Here is a 21,413-nt window from a genome sequence, read left to right on the forward strand (position 1 = left end):
GACCTTAGAGCATGAAACTACTACAAGAAAACACTGGGGAAAGTCTCCAGGACATTGGACTGGGCAAATATTTCTTGAGGGATACCCCGCAAGCACAAGCAACCAAAGCAAAAATGAACAAATGGGATCAAGTTAAAACATTTCTGCACAGCAAAGGAAACAGTCAACAAAATGAAAACCCATAGGATGAGGGAAAATATTTGCAAACTACCCATCTGACAAGGGATTAATTACCAGAATATAGAAGGAGCTCAAACAATTCTATAGGAAAAAAATATCTAATCCATTTAAAAAAATGAGCAAGTGATATGAATAGATATTTATCAAAAGAAGACATACACATGGCAGATAGGCATACAAAAAAGAGCTCAACATCACTGATCATTAGAGAACTGCAAATCAAAACTACAATTAGATATCATCTGACCCTAGTTAAAATGGCTTTCATCTAAAAGGCAATAATGCTGATGAGGATGTGGAGAAAAGGGAACACTTGTACATTGTTGGTGGGAATGAAAATTCGAAAAACCACTATGAATAACAGTTTCGAGATTCCTCAAAAAACTAAAAATTGAGCTACTATATGATCCAGCAATCCCACTCCTTATGTATATACCCCAAACAAAGAAAATCAGTATACTGAAGAAGTATTTGCGCTCCCGTGTTTGTTGCAGCACTGTTCACAATAGCCAAGATTTGGAAGCAACCTAAGTGTTCACCAACTGATGAATGGATAAAGAAAATGTGGTACTTATATACAATGAAGTACTATTCAGCCATGAAAAAGAATGAGATCCTGTCACTTGCAACAACATGGATGGAACTGCAGGTCTTTATGTTAAGTGAAATGAGCCAGGGACAGAAAGACAAACCTTGCATGTTCTCACTTATTTATGGAAGCTAAAAATCAAAACAATTGAGTTCATGGAGATAGAGAGTAGAAGGATGGTTACCAGAGGTTGGGGGGCAGGGGGAAGTGGGTTAATGGTTAATGGGTACAAAAAAATAGAAAGGATGAATAAGAACTAGTATGTGATAGCACAACAGGGTGATTATAGTCAATATTAATTTAATTGCACATTTAAAAATAAAGGAGTATAACCAGATCGTTTGTAACATAAAGAGTACATGCTTGAGGTGATGAATATACCGTTTACCCCAATGTGATTATTACTCATTGCATGTGTGAATCAAAATATCTCATGTACCTCATAAATATATACACCTCTGTACCCATAAAAAGACGTCAACAAGTTCTAGTGTCACACACCATTTAAACAACAGGTATTGAGTACCCAGTGTGTGTAAAGCACTATGATAGGTGCTAGAGTTACAAGAGTGAGCAAGAGATATACCATGCCTACGCTCCTTCAACAAAGAGTGGGGCTTCTTATCTACCATGGCTGGGGCTTCCTCTCATCTCTCTCTCTCTCTCTCTTTTTTTTTTTTTTGAAGCAGAGTCTCGCTCTGTCACCGAGGCTGGAGTGCAGTGGCGCGATCTCAGCTCACTGCAACCTCTGCCTCCTGGGTTCAAGCGATTCTTGTGCCTCAGCCTCCCCAGTAGCTGGGATTACAGACGTGTGCCACCACGCCCAGCTAATTTTTGTAGTTTTAGTAGAGATGGGGTTTCACCATGTTGGCCAGGCTGTCTCCAACTCCCGACCTCAGGTGATCCACCTGCCTTGGCCTCCCAAAGTGCTGGGATTACAGGAGTGAACCACCATGCCAGCCATCTCTTGCTCAATTCCCCTGTAGTAGGCAGAATAATGCCATTGCCCCCATCCCCAAATATGTCTACACCCTAATCCCTAGAACCTGTGACCACGTTATGTTACATGACAAGGGGGAATTAAGGTTGCTAATCAGCTAACCTTAAGACAGATTACGTTAGATTATCTGAGTGGGCTCAGTGTAATGACCATGGTCCTTATAAGTGAAATAGGAAGGCAAGAGGGTCAAAGTCTGAATAACCGTATATGAGAAAGACAAGACTGGTCACCGCTGTCTTTGAAGATGGAAAGGTGCCATGAGCCAAGGGAGGCAGGCAGCCTCTCGAAGCTCAAAAAGGCAGGTAGCCATTCTCCCCTAGAGCCTCCAGAAAGGAGCACAGCCCTGCTGACACCTTGACTTTAGCCCAGTGAGACCCACTTCTGACTTTTGACTTCCAGAACTGTAAGGACGTTAATCAATTTGTGTTATTTTAAGCCACTAAGTTCATTAAGTATGTGATAATTTGTTACAGCAGTGATAGAAAACTATCCTCCTCCGTTTGTCAACAAAGGGAGGGCTCAAAGTTCATGAATTCCCCCTTCAACTCTGCAAAGCCGCTGTTATTATTTCCCTGCACCCCAGGGCCAGTTCCCTTTCAGCAGCTGCCCCTATACAGCTGGACAGGGAAGGCAGGCCAGAGCGGGCTGCTTCTGGGCAGAGGCCATGAGAGGCTCACTGTCCAAGGGAGCTGGTGAACCCCAGCTCAGCCACTCTTTCCTCCCAGCATTCCTGATGCTGGTGCTGTACACCCATAAGCCGACACAGTTCAGAGAAACCAGAACCCAGCGGCTGCAAAGGCAGAGCAAGCCAAACTCCTCAGAGACATCAGGGCTTAGCAGCAGAACATGAAACGACCGGCAATCCTACCATGTGCTAAATATTTGAATCTTCCCAAAGCAATGCCACTTTGTGCTCAGACATCTACAGTGACTCTGTGTGGCTGATAGCCAACAGTCCTACCCCCTTGTCCTGGTTCAGGGGCTCCATATCAAGCCCTAGGTCAGCATTCCAATATTACTCTCTACTTCATTCTGCTGAAATGCTCCATTGAGGTCTGACCCATCTACTACTCATTTGCACCAGAGTTGAATAACTCCTACCTCCAGGGTCCAGGCAGGTAGTGAAATAGATGACACATTCATGGGTAGCAATAGGGAACAGTAGGGACTGTGGCAAACTAGAGTGTCCACACCCTATAAAAGGGGCAGTTTCCACCTGAGGTCAGCAGTTCGAAGCCAGCCTGGCCAACAAGGCAAAACCCCGTCTCTACTAAAAAAAAAAAAAAAAAAAATACAAACATTAGCTGGGTGCAGTGGTGTGTGCCTGTAATCCCAGCTCCTCCAGAGGCTGAGGCAGGAGAATTGCTTGAACCTGGTAGGCGGAGATTGCACTCCAGCCTGGGTGACAAAGCAAGACTCTCTCAAAAACAAACCCAAAATACAAACAAACAAAACAAAACCATAAAGGGGCAATTTCCACTCTGCTCCGGCTGAATGCAGCCATGCAGAAATGGGGCTCCAGCACAGCCAGACTAATTTGTAAGGCCTAAATTTTTTGAGGAACTCTAATTTTTTCATGTTAGCAACTAACTAAAGAAACTTGAGCGTGTGATCAAACATACGTCCTCTGTAAGCTATGCAGGCCACACCTGTGACCTGATTAACTCCCTGCAGTGATGATGGTGATGTCTGTGGTGCACTGGCATGTGCTGGGGCTGGATCCATGCTCCTTCCCTAACCTCTCCCTGCTCCCCTGTTTCTCTGGCTCCTATTCAACCTTCAGGGCTCACTGTCTTTTTCTAGAAAAACTTCCTGGACAATCTTGGCCCACTGCATCCTTTCTTCCTTACTGGTTAATTTGGCCACCTTCTAATCTTCCTCCTATTATTTTTAAATATTATCTGTTCAGGATTCACAATGAGTTAAAAAATTTTAGTTAGGGAATTGGCCCCACAGAAAGGCAACACCAGTGACAACAAGAGCACCTGTTACCTGCCGGGCACCATCTAGGGTAAGAATTATCTCTATATTATGGCTGAGGAAACAGAGGCTTGGAGAGATAGGGACCCAAAGGACCATATGGTCTCTGAGTGAGCCCAGCATTGGAAGGCTCATTATCTGTGGGGTTAGAACTTTCTTACGAAGGAGACTCAGCTGGAATCTGATCTAAAGAAAGGGGAAGCGAAAACCTGTGTTTGGCTTAGGGTTCGCCTGTCAATCTAAAGACTGAATTTGGGCTAATATGTACAGACAAGTTCATTAATTGTGGGTCTGTTTGTCTTTCTTTTGTGAGGAATAATCATTTATTAGCCAAGCGGGACTGGTGCCTTTTTGAGAACTGTCATTCTGGAAAGATATTGATTGAAGGAGGCCTCTGAGCACATTCTCTCCAGCAGGCAGCCGTAAGGGAGGCGGCTGCAGTCCAGACAAGATGATGAGTTGGCAGTGAGCATCTCGACAGGAGCCTAATGAAGAAATCTGGTAACAGCGAGGGCTGGCTTTATGAGCGCTCATATTTGGTCTTTCACTCTCTGCAAGGTTGGTGAGTGGCAAAAGTGTCCATGGGCCTCTACCTCCCACTGTGGAATTACACATTCCTACAGCCAGTGGGCTCCGGGAACCCAATGGCAGCATCCCCAGGCCCCTGGGCCCACTCCACACATCACAGGCTAGAGACTTCTTGTCTGCCTCCTTTCTCACGTCTCTCCCCCTGAGATAGCATGCTCTCCCCTCCCTCCTTCCCTCTCATAATTTGTTCCCAACAGGTAGCTTTGTGCAGTTACTCCAAGAGAAGCCCGAACTCCCTGGGGAGCCTCTGCCCAGGTGGAAGAGCTCTCGAGTGGCTATTATTAGGGGTGATTGCTGGGAAGCTGGTTGCCATGGCACCGCAGAGGCCAGTGCTGAACTCCCAAGCTGCCCCGTTTCCAAGGCTGTCTACATAATCACTGCAATGAGAGGCACAGGCACAGAAAGGGAGAGAGGAGCAGCTCCCCACTGACAGTGATCTCCCTGCAGAGCAAGGTGAGCAGTTCACAGCTGAGTACGACAGCCCATCTTGGCATGGGCCAAGCACTGCCTGGAGGGACCCTGGTGTGAGCTGGTCACTGCTTCACTGTCTTCTCATGGATCAGGCAGTCTGCCTCTGTGTTCCCAGTACTGGTTTTCTACAGGAAAACACTGCTCCTAATCCACTGATCCATTTCTTAAAGGTTCCTGGAGTTTGCAAACATCGAGTAGTGATAGTCTTCCATCTGCCAGGCACTGCGCTAAACTCTTTATGGAGACAAAGAAATGATGCTCAGAGAGTCATTTGCCCTTGGTCACAGGCTAAGAAGAGGCAGAGCTAGGACGTAAACCCAACTCTGGCTCTATGGCATCTCATATAGCATCATTTTTCCTCCAGTCCTCTGACTAGAAAGGGTGGCCCCTTCAACCTGGTGCTGAGAACAGACACTGGCGGCCCCACACCTCTGAAGGCATGGTTCCAGCAAATAGAAATTGGACTGGCAAGGATTAAACCGCTGGTTTGGGCTTCATTAGCTATGTGATCTCACCAACCACAGAGAATTAACCAGAGTGGAGCCATCTCTTTACAGACTTAACACAATGTACCGAGGCAATGTGGAGAACAGTCACTGAATTTATTGAGCACCTACTACCTGCTCCAGACATGCCATTAACACGTGGGCTATCCTTCCCTTCCACAGTCACTCTAGAACTTGAGGCCACTGTCCTCTGATGCAGAGAGAAGAAACATTTTATAATCACTGTAGACAATAAAGGCTTTATCTGTTAGCAAGCACTTTTGCTTAATGACTTGGTCATGGGGAAGGAGAGACAGGTTGTACTTGGTCCTCATTTTGCACTTGGTTAGAGAGTAAGAGGCCTTTCCATCTCCACTGCTGCTCAGGTACTTCCTCCCAGTGTACTCTAGCACTCCCCCAGCAGGTTCTGTAGAAACACAGACCCCAAGGCCTGGGCAGACTCTACCAGAAAAATACTTGTGTTCCTCTGTGCTCTGCCTAGTACATGGCTTCCCTGGCTACCTCTCCTACAGGCCTGGGGAGGCAAAGATGGGAAGTGTTTGTAGGTATTATCTACTGACAACATTCAACTTTAGACCTCGGTTCAAGCCCCCTCTACCTTTGCCTAGATCTTTGACTTTGTGTAAACAACATGCTTTTTCTGGGCCCAATTTTCTCATCTGTAACTCCAAGTTTATGAATTGTTTTGATAATAAAATACTAAAAAATATTGAGTGTTTGCTGTGGACCAGACATTTCATTGAATCTGCACAACAATCCAGTAATGCATGTGCCATTATTGTCCCCATTTTATAGAGGTGGATACTTAGCTGTACAGAGGGTAAATCCAAGGAGTTAAGTCCAAGTTACCCACACCTGGGCTTGTCTGACCCCAGAACCAGCACTATTGACCACTATGATATACAGCCTCTTTCTATCTTCATTAAAGCCAAGTTTCCAAGCCACAGGAATCTCACAAATACCTATAACCGGCCTTTATAATTTATGAACCTCAACAGAGTATCTGAAAGCCACCTAGTGGCTGGAAGTTGCTCAGTAGGATTTGAAATTCTCTAAAAGGCAAAATTGTTCCCATATTCCAGGCTCTGCTCCCTCTCCCCCTTCCACCACCCCTTGATATTCTTTCTGAAAAGTTGAGTTGGAAACAATCACTTTCTTCTCTGAACTTCTATAGAGCAAGGTTCCCAAGTTGTGATCAAGACACAAAAGTCATGGGGCAGAGCACCATAAAATATTGTGACATTATCTTTAAAGTAGCTTATATATAACTCAGTATACCATTTTGTACTGGGGTCTATTATATAGATCATACAAATTTCAGGAATACTTCCAGGAGAAAAGTTTAACATTGAGACAATTCTGAGTTTTAGCTTATAATTCATAGCCTTAGTGTATTCTGAGATACATATCACCTTTTATCTGATGTTAGATCTCATCTCATTCACTCATACATTCAATAACTACAATTTAGTATCCATGAAATGTCAGGGATGGCCCTTGGAATCTTCCGGTACTTAATAACCTCCCTAGGGGCAAGCAACAGTACGTTGGATTAACACAAATTTGTGGTTTTGTGGCCCCACAGTGACACGAACACAAAAGATTCTCAATAAACAGAAACTGAAAAATGCTACGCGTCAGAACTTTTGGGTACACATAGGATATGCTGAGGATAAGAACATTTGAAATCACTATTTCAACTGTCTAAAACAATATTCAGCATAAACACTTTTTAGTCAGCATTTTCTCTTTCTGATTATGGGAATCTAAATTTCATATTCAATTGAAAATGAACTTTATATTAGAAACATTTCATAATTTTATATTCTCTTGTCCCACCACGATAAGTGTACAAAGGCAGTAATTGCATAAGTCTGTCTATCCATTGTGCTTAGCACAATACTTTGTTAACACTTATTGACCAATTCATTGCTTTGTTTGATTTCAGTCTTTTTCCTAAGCTTGATGATTCTATTTTTCTCATATGTAACTCTTCAATGACAATTTCACTGCATTACAGACATTTTCAAATGGCACAAAAAATGTCAGAATATGCTATTTGACCCTGGGATTAAGGATGCCCATACATGAGATCAATCCTATTTAAATCCTTATGCTCAGGTTAAAAAGAGAAGATAAAGGCAAGTATCATTATGAGCTTCGTGGGGATAGCATTCCCCTGACCTCTGCTGTCTCCAGTCTGTGCTTGATAATGATGGAAGGCCAGCAGGTGCTTTGAGTAATTCAGCAGATAAAGAGACTTGCACTGATGGGGCTGGAAGCTGCTTGAGTGGACAGCAGATCTCACAATTCAGTTACTGATGCTACCTACTGAGCTGTCAAAATAGAATTATGAGAACTGCATGGGGGGCTTGAATTAACCGATATACTTAAACATGAGTCAATTACACACACGAGAGATCCCCCCTTCTCCATCTTACAGGGCCATGCAAGTCGTGAGGATGGTTGTATTCATTATATGATGTAAGAAAAAAAACCAATCATTGTCAGTGTTTCAGACTTAATGTTTTCTAAACCCTGATTTCCTCAGCTGCAAAAAGGAAGAGATACTGCAAACTTACTGGGTTTTCAGGAGGATCAATGAAGATAAATCAATGAGAAGGGGCTCTATAAATAGCAAAGGGCTAAACAGCAAAAGGTATCAACTTTTATCATTTTATGCCTTTTTAAAAACATAAATCTGAGAGTCCACAGAATTTGTAAATTTCCCCTGCAAACTGTTGTTGTGAACTCGCTCTATGGCACCTTCATCTAGGTGTGTGCTCAGGCCAAAAAGCTGGGAGCTGTCCTTGGTGCTTTCCTTTACTTCACCCTCTACATCTTTTTTTTAAAAAAACAGTTCTATTAACTTTACACTCAAAGTACGGCCCAAATCAATTCAATCTCACCATTTCCACTGTCACCATCTTAGTCTAAGCCATGCTCATCTCTTACCTGGAGCACTTTGATAGCTTTCTGACTCTTCTCCCAGCATCTACTCTTCCTCCTGAGGCTTCATTCTTAAATAGCCACAGAGTGACATATTAAAAGTATAATCAATCATCCTCTTTACACCAAGCCCTCCTGGATTTTCTCTTAATACAGCAATATCCAAACTCCTTACCATTGCCTACAGGTCTACCGTGTGGCCCAGCCCTTCAAGTCCTTTGCACAGAAGACAATGTGAATGGGGGCTGTGTGGTGCAAGGGGACTGCCCTGTATGTAGCTCTTCCTGCCTCCTCTCATGCTATTCCTCCTTATGGTACTGTACACAGCCCAGCTGGTCATCTTTCTGCCCTGTGACCTGCCAAGCACTGTCCAGATTCAGAGCCACTCCATTTGCTGTTGCTTCTTCCCCTGAAACATTTTCACTAAATCTCAATCTTATTTATGTGTGTGTTGTTAGATTCCTTCTCCTTCAATAAAGTGCTGCAAGGGCAGGGGGCATGATTTTCCTAGTGCCTGGAACAGTGCCTGGGACATGTGAAGCAACAATAAACATTCGTTGAATAAATAAGTAGCAGTTGATTACCTTTACTTCATGGACTTCTCTTTCTTTTACTTTGCCTGCAAACACCAAAACTTATGTTCTAGTTTTCCAATTTGTAAAAATATTGCAACTTTTAAAATCTTATTTTGTGCTTTTTTATTGCCATTTTCCCACTTGTGGTGCCTAGGAATGCGATTTAATTTTAATGTTCATGTAAGTTAAATATAACAAGGTAGGTATTTTATTATACTGTGTGTGTGTGTAATGTATTCTTAATGCTAGAAATGAGCAAACAGTGGGTCAACTACTCTTTACTGTTGGCTTTTACATATGTGTAAAGAGAAGTATCAGATGCAAATTTATCAGATTGAATGACTATAGTTGTTTACCTCTAAAAGCATTTCTTTAGCACTTTCACTGTCCTAAATGCTGAGGGGGTTTGAGAAAAGAGTCTAGCCATAATAATGGTCCCATCTAGTGAGAGAGACCAAAATAGAAAGAGGTAATTAAATGTATGGTATTAAGTGCTCTGAGACAGGGCATTTAATCCTATTTGGGGGTCCAGGAAGTCTTCCTGGAGGAATGTGCCTTAACTGAAACCTGAAGAATGTGTAGGCAGAATGATGGCTCCCCAAGGATGTCAAAATCCTAATGCCCGGAACCTGGGAATATCTTACCTTACATGGCAAAATGGAATAAAGATTGTGGATAGAATTATGATGCTAATCAGCTGACCTTAAGGTGGGGAGAGTATCTTGGATTACCCAGGTGGGCCCAGCGTAATCACAAAGGTCCTTAAAAGTGGAAGAGAGAGGCAGGAGAGAGACAGAGAGATGTGATATGAGAAGGACTCATCTTCCTGCTGCTAGCTTTGACAATGGAAGAAGGGGCCATTAGCCATGGAATGTGGGCAGCCTCTGAAAGCTGAAGAAATTGAGGAAACATTCCCCCCTAGAGCCTCTAGCAGGGAACACAACTTGATCAACACCTTGATTTTAGACAGTGAGACCAATGTCAGACTTCTGACCTGCAGAACTGCAGGATGGTAAGTTAGTGTTGTTTTAAGCCACTACATTTGTGAGAATTTGTTACAGCAGCCATAGGAAGCTAATACAGAGAGAAAGAGGTGAACTTTGATTTCACTGTGGAGGGGAAAAACGGGCAGCTAATACAGAGAGAAAGAGGTGAACTTTGATTTCACTGTGGAGGGGAAAAACGGGCTGTTGGAAGATCTATTATATATAAAGATTGTATGATAAAATTCCCACCTTGTTATGATACTTATATGAATGTTAAAAGATTAATTCCTTGGCACCACAAATGGAAAAATGGTCATAAAACACAGACTTAGATTTTAAAAGTTGCAACATATTTATAAATTGAAAAAATGGAAGATAATTTTTGGTTTTTGCAGGCAAAATACAGGGAATAGGAGGCCAGTGCCCTCCCTAGGCTCTAACAGGCCAATGCCTCTTTCTGGGGAAAATATTTCTGGGCATTTCCTTGACTGGGTTCTCCTGAACCTAGAATTCAGGATGCCCCCAGGTGCTTGTGGCTGCTTTGCTAGTGATAGCTTGTTACAGGGCATGACGACAGGTAAGTTGGCCTAAAATGTCCCAAGGCCAGAGCCATCTATAACCCTATGGCCAATCTTTCCCATTCTGCATGTCTTGGGGGCTGCAGCCATGTGTGGGAGCCAATTTTGACCTTCACTGCTGTCTCATTCAAGACCCCAAGTGAGGGAGAGGGCAAGACCTGGGAAGGTGTTAACTACTAATGAATAACACTCACTTCCAAAATTAATAAGCCTTCTGGTTCTTAGCAAAATCCACTCAACTGGATTCTCCAGGATGACTAATTGACAGAACTGGTTAAATTAATCAAAAATGGAAATGAGGATGGAAGAAGGGGGAAGGGATTCTATTTTTATTCGATGGCTTGGGCACTGCCTGCTCTGTTAATTGCTGCTAAGCTTGAATGGGATAGAGCAGCTTCAGACATGGGGGTGAGGTGGGGGTGGTGGTGGTATCAGTGAATTCTGCTCCTTGCAGCAAGGCTTTTGGCTTTTCTCCAGAGTGGGAAGTGTGTGTCTGTGTGTGTGTTTGCAATCCTGCCATCAGGCAAAAGCATTTTAATAAAGGACCTTGTCTTTTTAACCTAACCAAGCTCCCCTGAAATAAATACTGTTAATTATACCTCAGATCAATACTGAACCCCTTTTGGAAGATATGCCAAATCTCAGGGGCTTTAAGATTCATTGCAGTTGCTGTCTCAGCTGATGTCTTTGGACACATTCCATCAGGGACCTGGGGAATGAGCCACAGGTTTATTAGGGAGCTCTAGTGGCTTACTTACCAGGGGTTGGCAATTAAGTTTGTAGATGAGGGTGAAGAATGAGAGTGGATTTTATGTTCTGTGTAATGGCAGAATTAATTCTATGGTTGAAAATGGTCAGGCTGGGGAATCCAGCCAGATGGGGATTGTATAAAATGGACTCTTGTGAAATTATCCTTCTGGATTTTAGAAAAACATCATGCTCTTTATCCTGTCAGATGCCCAGCAGAGGAATAAATCTTCTGGAAGCAGACCTACATGGGTTCAAATCTTAGGTCCTCCACTGTGATCTGGGGCAAGTTTCCTCACCTCTCTGTGCCTCATCTATAAATTAGAGGTACTAATACCAATCTTCATGGGTTGTTGTGAGAATTAAATGAGATACAGAAATGTTCAAAAATAGTACCCTCCCCCTCTACTACACCCACCTTTGGAGGACAATGAAATTTCTGATTTGCATTGTTGGACTGGGCATCAAACTTTGCCTTCTTCTCATTGGAACTCGGGCTGTTTCTCCAATGACTACACTGTTCACAGAAACATCTCAGATTTTTTTTTTTTTGAGATGGAGTCTCGCTCTATTGCCCAGGCTGGAGTGCAGTGGCACAATCTCAGCTCACCGCAACCTCCACCTCCTGGGCTCAAGTGATTCTCCTGCCTCAGCCTCCTGAGTAGTGGGGATTACAGGTGTGCGCTACCATGCCCAGCTAATTTTTATATTTTTAGTAGAGACAGGGTTTCACCTTGTTGGCCAGGCTGGTCTCGAACTCCTGACTTAAAGTGATCTGCCCGCCTCAGCCTCCTAAAGTTCTGGGATTATAGGTGTAAGCCACTGCACCTGGCCTAACATCTCAGATTTTAAGGTCTAAAGTGCTTATGCCATTTCCCCCTCAGCATGAAAAAGTCAGACTGCCCCTGGACAGGAAGGCTGCTTTGGTGTCATCCGAAGGAGGGGATTTCTGTGGCCAATCCTTGGGCTGCAGACTTGCCAATGCAGAAGGGCCTTGCTGCTAGAAGAGAGTGTCTACAGGCAGTGGACTTGCTGGTAGAGCCAGTGCAAGGATTGGTGCTGCAGGGCAGCCCCATCGCTACTGCTGAGGTGAACCCTGGCTCCTCACCCTGGCCCTCAAGACCTTCTCTGGCCAGATTCAGCTTCTGCAATTCCCCAGCACTAGACATTACCTCTCAATAAGATGGAAGCTCGAGGGGCAGGTGAGGAAGAAGGAAGGTCTGCCCAAACCACAATGGAATTAAGATGCTACTGCAGAACCTACCCTGTGCCACCACACACAAGATTGATTGCATTCAGCAAATGTGTACTGGGAACCTACTATGTGTCAGGCAGTGTGCTAACTGCTTTTACTTAAAGTAACTAATTAATGGACAAAGACTTCCATAAGCCCACATCCCATGATCACTTCACCCCTCTCATCTTTCTTGCCCTCTCAGAAGCATTTGACATAATTGATCCTAATGTATTTCTAAATCACTGTCTTCTCTCAGCTTACATGTGTTGGTTTTCTGCTCACTTCCCTGGTAGCTCATACTTGATCATCTGTAAAAAGCCACCTCCTCCTTTCCCCTACCCCATTGGTAAATGTCGGTGTGGCCTTCACCTCATTCCTGGGCCCTCAGTTATTCTCTATCCATACCTTCTGCCCTAATTGACATTATCCCATCCCATGGCTTAAAATAGCTATGACATGCTCGTGATTCCTAAATTTATACCTACAGCTCAGACCTCTCCCCAGACTTCCAGACTCATGTTATCTAATTGTCTGCCAGACTTCTCTAATTGGATGAATCACAGACATCTCAATCTGGACACATCCAAAAGAGAATGCTTGGTCTTTCCATGCCAAAACTGTTCCTTCCCCAGTCTCCTCGTTTCAGTGTATGGTACCGTACAGTAACTCAAGCACCAAACCTACGAGTTATCTTAGATTCTCCCTTTTCCATCACCTCTTCACTGCCAATCTCTCAGCAAGTCCTCTTAGCCTCACCTCCTAAGGTGATCCTGAATCTGCCCACTTACCACTACTTCACTGTGCCCACCCTGGTCAAAGCCATTATCATGTCTCCTCCAGACAGTGGCAACAACCTCTAAATGGTCTCTCTGCTTTCCAGGCCTGGCACCCCTTGTCTGAGAACTCTTTTAAGATCATAAACAGTATTCACTTCCTTCTTAGCACCATCTCATGGTTTCCCATCTCACTTAGAGTGAAATGCAAGTGCTCTGCTCTGGCCCATAAAGCTCTCAATGATCTAGACCCAGCCTACCTCTCTGGCTTCACTTTCCTTTTCCCCTCCCTCTCTTTCTCCCTCCCTCTCTTCCTCCCTTCCTCCCTCCCTCCCCTTTTCTTCCTTTTCTTTCCTTTCCCCTTTCCCCTTTCTCCTTTCTTTCCTTCCCCTCTCCCTCTCCCTCTCCCTTGCCCTCTCGTCTTGCTCTGTTGCCTAGGCTAGAGTGCAGTGGCACAATCTTGGCTCACTGCAACCTCTGCCTCCCAGGTTCAAGCGATTCTCCTACCTCAGCCTCCTGAGTAGCTGGGATTATAGGTGTGTGCAACCACACCCAGATAATTTTTGTATTTGTAGTAGAGATGGGGTTTTGCCATGTTGGCCAGGCTGGTCTCGAACCTCCTGGCCTCAAGCAACCCACCTGCCTCAGCCTCCCAAAGTGCTGGGATCACAGGCATAAGCCACCATGCCTGGCTGTGGCCTCACTTTCTATACTGTCCCTAGCCTACTTGTATCCATCCACTGATCTTTTTTCTCTATTCTTTGAACACACAAGTTTCCTCCTCTGTTAGGGCCTTCACACTTAGATGTTGGCTTTCTCTTTGGATCCGTCTGATAACAGGTCTTAATTCAAAGGCTTTGCCACATACCACTACTTCCTGACCCTGCTAATTTTCTTACAGCTTTTTTATCATGTCTGAAATGACCTCGGTTATTTGTACATTTGTGTTTTCTCTCATCCCTCCCCACAAGAAAGTATGGTCCTTAAAGGCAGAAACCAGCAGGTGTTTAATCAATCTTAGTTGAATAAGTAGTTTTTGGTGTTCTCTTGAAGAGCTACAGGTGGTCTGGCTCAAACCTCAACTTCATCACTTGCTCTTTGGTGGCCATAAGTGTATCTTTCCCCCTTTTAGCTAGTTGCCTCATCTCTAAGATGTGAATAATGGCAGTATGTACCTCATAGGGTTGTTATCAGGATTAAATGAGCTCATGCATGTATACTTGGCTTACTTCCTGGACACAGTAAAATGTCATGGAAGTTAGCTGTGAATACGGCTGTTGACATTACTACTTTTATGATTGCTTCTGCTCTTCCTGCTCCCACACTTAAAAGACACATGTGGTAGGGAAGCAAGACACCATCTTCACTCCAACCATAACACGATGCTTATACTATGTGCCAGGCATCATTCTAAGGCTCCACGGGTGTTATTTAATCCTCACAAGCACCCTATAAGGTAAATACTTTCATGACCCATATTTTATAGGTGAGTAAGTTGAAGCACAGAGGTTAGGTAACCTGCTCAAGATCACCAATTAGGCCATGGATACAAGCTGATAGTGGCTGCTCAACTATGTTGATTTGCCTCCCCTGTTTTGACCCAGTCCCTGAATTCACTCACTACTGTCAGTTTGGTTTGACAGAGGGGAAGAAACAAAACAAAATTGTCCTGGGCTGTGCTTACAGGGAACATCATGCTGGGCTCCTCACCGCCTTGCCTCATCCCAGTACCTATGACAGGGGCTGCTGGGGTGGGCAGGGAGTTTTGATCTTTCCTGCTGTCTCCACCCTGGAGGTAAGGCACCCGGTGGGGCTCTTCAGTCATTCATCAACTTTCTTCAAGTTATAGAAGTAAAACAACAACCTTGGAGAGAATCTAGAAAATAAGAGAACTGCCCACATTTCATGGCCCCTGACCTCATCCCTTTCATATAGCCTCTGCTAGTCTTTGTCCACATATACTTATCCTGACCTTGCTGCATTCATGGTGAGATTATCATTTCGCATGCTGCTTTAACATTCATAAACATCTCTCCACTTGCTCCATCTCTGTGTCCCCAGGTCTTTGGCAAGTCAAGTCTCTGTGGCCTTTCAAGGTATCACTTTTACTATTCCCAGTCCCACTTGAGGATTTCACCTGCTGCTTTTATGCTGCTAAACCACACCCTACTTATTGGGGAACCTCTCCCTTCAAGACTGGCTTTTGAATAGGAATCAGGTACCTCAATGCCTCTAAAATCAATTAAAGTCTGCTTTGTTCAGAAAGAAAGTGTTCTAGCTCCACAGGAAAGCCTCCAGGCATCACTGTCCTAACACACACGGACAACCTGCCTGGTGAAACTGTCGAGACCCAATGCACAGGTTTCTATCATCCTGGTCCTTTGGTCCTTTGTCTAGTTTCTCTCCTGCCTTTAATAAAAGTTATGCTCATTGTGTGCTTCCAATGTGTCAGGGGCTGTGCAAGAGCCCTGTGTCCATGACCTCTTTCCACTCTTACCTCCTGGAGGAAGGTGTCAACATCAGCACCTGCCCAGGCTTCTGGCGGCAATGAGGCCTGGAAACAATGTCTGGAACTGCTGGCTCCAGGGCTTGTGTTCTTGATGACTTTTATGTCTTTCCTCCTACTATGGGCTGAGTTGTGCCCCCCCCCCCGCCCATTCATATATTGAAGTCCTAACTCCCAGTACTGCAAAATATAACTGTATTTGGAGATAGAGCCTTTCAACAGGTAATTAAAATAAGGTAATCAGGGTGGGTCTTGATCTAATAGGACTGGTGTCCTCATAAGAAGAGGAATTTTGGACACAGACACTGATGGAAGGCAGTGTAAAGACACAGGGAGAAGACAGCCATCTACAAGCCAAGGAGAGCAGTGTGGAACTGATCCTTCTTTCGTAGCCTCCAGAAGAAACCAACCCTGCCAACACTTCATCTTGGGCTTCCAGCCTCCAGAACTTTGAAAAAATAGTTGAATTGTTTAAGCAGTGTAGTCCATGGTACTTTGTTGCAGCAGCCCTGGTAAACCAATATGTCTTTTTTCACCTGTCTTTTCCTATCTGCCTGCCTTTCCACCACAGATGTTCTATGAAGCCCCACCAGGTGCTATGTAAGTATTGTACAAATTCAGTAATTAGTGAGATAAAGTCCCTGTCTTCATAAAGATTGTATTCCAGTCAGCAAGACAGAGGCTAAGTAAAGCAAACAACTATAATGGAGGCTATGAAAGAAATAAAGAAATAGAGTGATGAGATTGAGAGATGGTAGGTGCAGATGGGGTGGACAGAGAAGTTAACTCTTAGGAAGTGACATTTTCTCAGAAACTTAAAAAGTCAGTACAGGCCAGACAGGTAGAGTGTGTGGGGGGCAGGGAGAATTCCAGGCAGAAAAGCATGTGCAAAGGCCCTGAGGTGGGAAAGGGCTGGATGTATTGGAGGTGTAGGAAGCAAGCCAGTGTGGCCAGGCTACAGGGAGCTGAGCCTGGAAATGTTGGCAGAGACCAGATTTACGGGGCACGTTGGAAAGGAGTTCAGGCTTAATTCCTTTCATTCCCCAGGTTGGTGTCCATTACACCTGGCCAGTTTCTTCACCCAGCCACCGATACTCATGCGTGGAAAGGGGAAAGAATAATCCACTCTAGCTAAGTACTGCTGCCATCAGCACCCTATTGTTTCAGACATCTAAACTGCAAACAAAGCCCTGTCACTACCGCCAGAAGTGGTAGAAAAAAATAGGCGAGGGAGAAAAGGAATCATCCTTTCCAACCCCTGCTGAGTATGCAGAGTGAGGGACATATGGAAATTAATAAATGCAGCTCTGATAACACGGTTCTCCTCGGCATTTTGATTAAATGCTGTTGGTTATTAAATACTCTCCTTCTCAGAGCTCATCTCCAAAAGCCAATGTTGCTTTTCATTTTGAACTCTGATGAACTGTCTCAATTCCGATCACACACCTCGGCTGAACTGCGGTTGACTGCAGGCTGCCGTTTGAGGAGGATGGAGAAAATCAATATGAAATGTCAGGCGAGGGGTCAGATTGAACTTGTTTTCCCAGCTGGCAGGAGCTGGGGCTCGTAGCCGCAGCAGCTGAACAAAGGGAGATGTGCACTGAAGAAGGTTGGTTCTTTGAAGGAGTCAGGAAAATGAATTTCATTTGCTTCTTAATTAGATTAGCAGGCTGGCAGCTTGCAATTCAGAACTCTGTTGGTGTTGGAATAGGGAGTGGGAGGACAGGGCTGGGCAGAGGCCTGAAGGCCAGTAGCTGGCTCCTCCGCCTCCTTCAGGACAGTCACCAGGGCTTTGCTTCTCTGGGGCTGTGTGGGGCTGAGGCTGGAGGGAGAAGCAGCTTCTGGGGCTCCCTGGGTGTGTGGCTTGACCGGCTTCCTGCTTCTGTATGACTGCATGATTCTTCCCTGGGCTCTCCCCGTCTGCTTCTCCATCCTTAGGTCTCAGCTCAGCAGTCACTGTCTTGTAGAGTCCTCAACACCTCTACTTGTACCAGCACATGCCTCTCTTTTATACATGTATTGCAGTTGCGATGCTATATTTGTTTCTGTTCTCTAACTAATGCATCTTCTCTCCTTAGACAGTGTGGTTAATGTTATGTATTAGCTTGACTGAGCCATGGGCTGCCCAGATATTTGGCTAGAAATTCTGGGTGTTTCTGTAAAGGTGTTTTTGGAATAGTTTAACATTTACATTAATAGACTGAGTAAAAGAGATTGTACTGCCTATTGTCAATGGGCCTCATCTCATCAGTTGAAGGCCTGAAGAGAATAAAAACGCTGACCCTCCTGCAAGGGAAAGAGAACTCCTCTGCCAGACTGCCTTCGAGCTGGAACATTGTATTTTTCCCCCCTTGCTTCTGGAATTGAATGGAAACACTGGTTTTTCCTGGGTCTTCAGCCTGAGGGTTTTGTTTATTTATTTTTTTGAGATAGAGTCTTGCTCTGTCGCCAAGGCTGGGGTGCAGTGGGGCAATCTCAGCTCACTGCAACCTCTGTATCCCAGGTTCAAGCGATGCTCCTGCCTCAGCCTCCTGAGTAACTGGGACTACAGGTGTGTGTCACCACACCTGGCTAATTTTTGTATTTTTAGTAGAGACGGGGTTTCACCATGTTGCCCAGGCTGTTCTCAGACTCCCAGCCTTGGGTGATCTGCCCGCCTCAGCCTCCTAAAGTGCTGGGATTACCTGTGTGAGCCACTGAGGCCGGTCTCTGATGGCTTTTAGATTAGAACACCACCATCGGCTCTCCTGGGTCTTCAGCTTGCTGGCTGCAGAGCTTGGGACTTGTCAGCCTTCATAACCATGTGATCTCATTCCTTATGATAAATCTCTTAACTTACACACACACACACACACACCCCCTACTGGTTCTGTTTGTCTGGAGAACCCTAATACAGAGAGTAAGCTCTAAGAGGGAGGAAACCAGGTCTGTTTTTGCTTACCCTTCTGTCTCCAGAGTCTGATACAGTACCTGACATAAAGTATGTGATTAACAAATATTGATTAAATAAATGAATAATGAGGCCTCCTATATCTGGCAAGAGGGTTGGGGTTTCGAACATCTTATGTCTGCAGGCCTAGAACCGGAGGAATCCAGGGTGAATAATTGTGATAACTGCTGCCGTCATTTATTGACTCCTTTGTGCCTGGCAGAGGGCTAGGATCTCACACACATGAAATTTAGTTCTTGTGAACAACCTGCCCTATGATGCTGTCCTTAATATTTCTACTTTCAAATGAGGAATCTGGGGCTCAAAATGATTAAATAACTTGCTTGAGGTCATGCAGGTACTGAGTATCAGAGCTGAGTTCTGATTCCAAAGCATCTGCTCTAAATCACTCTAGTTTTTTTTTTTTTTAACTTTTAAGTTCAGTGGTACATGTGCAGGTTTATTACATAGCTAAACATGTGTCATGGGTTTTTTTTTGTGTGTTTATTTCATCATCCAGGTATTAAGCCTAGTACCAATTAGTTATTTACCATTCTAGTTTTGAAAGCTTCTAAGGCCTTGCCCTTTTTCTATCTTGTGTTCAGTTCATCAAGCTTCCCAGTCAGTTGATTCCCCAATATCCAGAATGCATGTGGATCTGTCTGACTCCAAAGCTGAGGCTAGTGTCAGCCACACTGGGCTATGGGGATGCCAGGGCTTCCCGTGCCATCCCTGGCCTCCACCCTGGGTTGGTGGCCCAGAAAGCCCGGTTCTGCCTTCACTCACTAGAGAGGCCCTGCCTCCTTAGACAGCTCATGTCACCTCACCCACAGCATGTCCGGTACTGAGTCCCAACCCTTCACTCTCTGGGAGAGAGTTAGAGACTTTCCATCCATCCCCATTCCCACTTGTTATTTATGTCAACCCTTAGGCACACATTTATTAAATATTTCCTGACCTCTGCTTATGTGTCAGGGGTTCATATAATGTGACCAAGTCAGATTCAGTTCTTATCCTCAAGGCATTTACTATCTACAGGGGAATGACATTGAACAATTCATATCACGTCCATGTATGACGAATGCCAACCTTTAATATCACTAATGTCACTTATAACACCCATAGTTATTTTAAAAGAAAATGTTCATTTTCCCCCTTCTCTTTCTTTGGATTTCTATAGCCACCATTCTTGATCTAGGTTCCAAATTATCCTTGCATTGAGACTAAAGCAAAACCTTCTAACTTTCCTACCTTTATTCACATGACCACTGTGTTAATCTTCCATAAAACACAATTTTTATTAACTCTGCTGTCCAGCGAAATGCTCTCAAATTACCTCCCACATACTAGAAACTGTGCTTCTCCAACCGGGGTACCTGTATATATCCTTGGGCGTTAGGAAGAGGGGAGGATATGGGGGTATACTAAAAAGTACAGGAAGCCATAGGATAAATGTTACATCTTTTGGAAACACCAGTTTTGTTTAAAATTTGGGAGTGGGGGTAGAAACATAATTATTAAATTAAAGTGAAAATAGATTTTATATGGGTTAAAATGTAAAATTCACATGAATTTTTAGAAAGAAAAATAAGGCTTCAAAGAAAATCTGTTGTGGTCAGCACCTCCCCCAGGGTCGCTGGTCTCTGCCAGGCATGGGCTGTTTTGCCTTTGCTGGTAGGTTGGGCCAACCCAGAGCACATGGGAGGAACTGGATTCCTCTCTGTGCCCTCCTTCCATGGCAGCAGGGTTCATGGCTTGGCCCCACCAGAACTGTATTTGGTGGAACAGCTTAAGAAGGACTGGATACTATGGGAACCAGACTCTGGGTATAATATAAGTACTCACTGAATGCATGAATACATGACAGCATAAACTTTGGAATCTGATCTTCAAGGATCAACCTGATATGAACCATCATTGCTATTTAACCTCATTAACCCAAGATTCCCCTTTCCCCCAAGCCTGACACTTTTTATTTAACACCCTTCAAATGTTCCATTACTTTAGTAACTTCAGAATTTTGCCCATTCTGTGGTTGCTGCCAACAATACTCTTCTTTCTGTTTCCCACCTAACCAAATCCTACTTGTACTTCAACACTCAACTGCTCAGCCTCTGCCTTCCCTGTGAGGTCTGTTTCAAATGTCTCAACCGTCTCTGAATGGCCTAACCCATAATTATCTCCATCATTCACTTGAGTATTAAAACTAAACTGCCTTATACATTGTTCCTGAAATGCTTCCTGGGTGCATCTTGCCTCATTAGCCAAATTTTAAATTCCTTGAGTATAGGAGATAAGTCTTACCTTTCCATTGTACCCCTCAGAGTTCTTTATTGTAACAAATACATTGTAGATACAAGAATATCATGCAGTATCTGTGACTGAATGAATTGTAGTCTAGATCAGTGGTTCTCAACTGGGAGCAATGTTTTCACCAAGAGGGTATTTCACAGTGTCTGGAGACATTTTTGGTTATACAACTGGGCTTGGGTTATTGGCATCTAGTGGGTAAGGCCACAGATGCTGCTAAACATCCTACAATGTATAGGACAGCCCCTTCCCCGAAACAAAAATCTATGTAGCGCAAGATTCAATGGTGTACTGTTAAGAAATGCTTATCTATATTATAGTGGCTTCCTAACCTGTCTCCTTGTTTCTTTGTTCTCTCAGCCAGAATTTAACCTTTATCCTTCTGCCTTCCATCTGAACAATTTCCCTAACAACTAATTCTGATCATACTACTCCTCTGGTTACTTTTGTGGCTGTTCACTCACTTTGATGAAAAAAATTTGGGTTTTAAAAATCATGGTCATTATGAC

General features: G+C 44.1%; 1 protein-coding gene and 1 long non-coding RNA gene across 12 annotated transcripts in view; one reads left to right on the forward strand and one right to left on the reverse strand.

The window, feature by feature from the left end:
• PPP2R2B-AS2 (PPP2R2B antisense RNA 2) overlaps positions 1–6,023 on the forward strand; it is a 59,059-nt gene extending 53,036 nt beyond the window's left edge. The window contains exons 4-6 of one of the 2 annotated variants that reach the window (NR_188288.1): positions 4,063–4,250; positions 4,535–4,790; positions 4,979–6,023. This is a non-coding gene — a long non-coding RNA (PPP2R2B antisense RNA 2). Of the gene's footprint in view, positions 1–674; positions 787–4,062; positions 4,251–4,534; positions 4,791–4,978 lie in introns of those variants that run through there. The other variant, NR_188289.1, reaches the window with a different exon arrangement.
• The window catches only part of PPP2R2B (protein phosphatase 2 regulatory subunit Bbeta), a 500,779-nt gene that overhangs the window by 35,520 nt on the left and 443,846 nt on the right, over positions 1–21,413 (reverse strand). The window lies entirely within an intron of this gene.

Source organism: Homo sapiens, chromosome 5, assembly GCF_000001405.40.
Source record: "Homo sapiens chromosome 5, GRCh38.p14 Primary Assembly".
Lineage (NCBI taxonomy): Eukaryota > Metazoa > Chordata > Mammalia > Primates > Hominidae > Homo > Homo sapiens.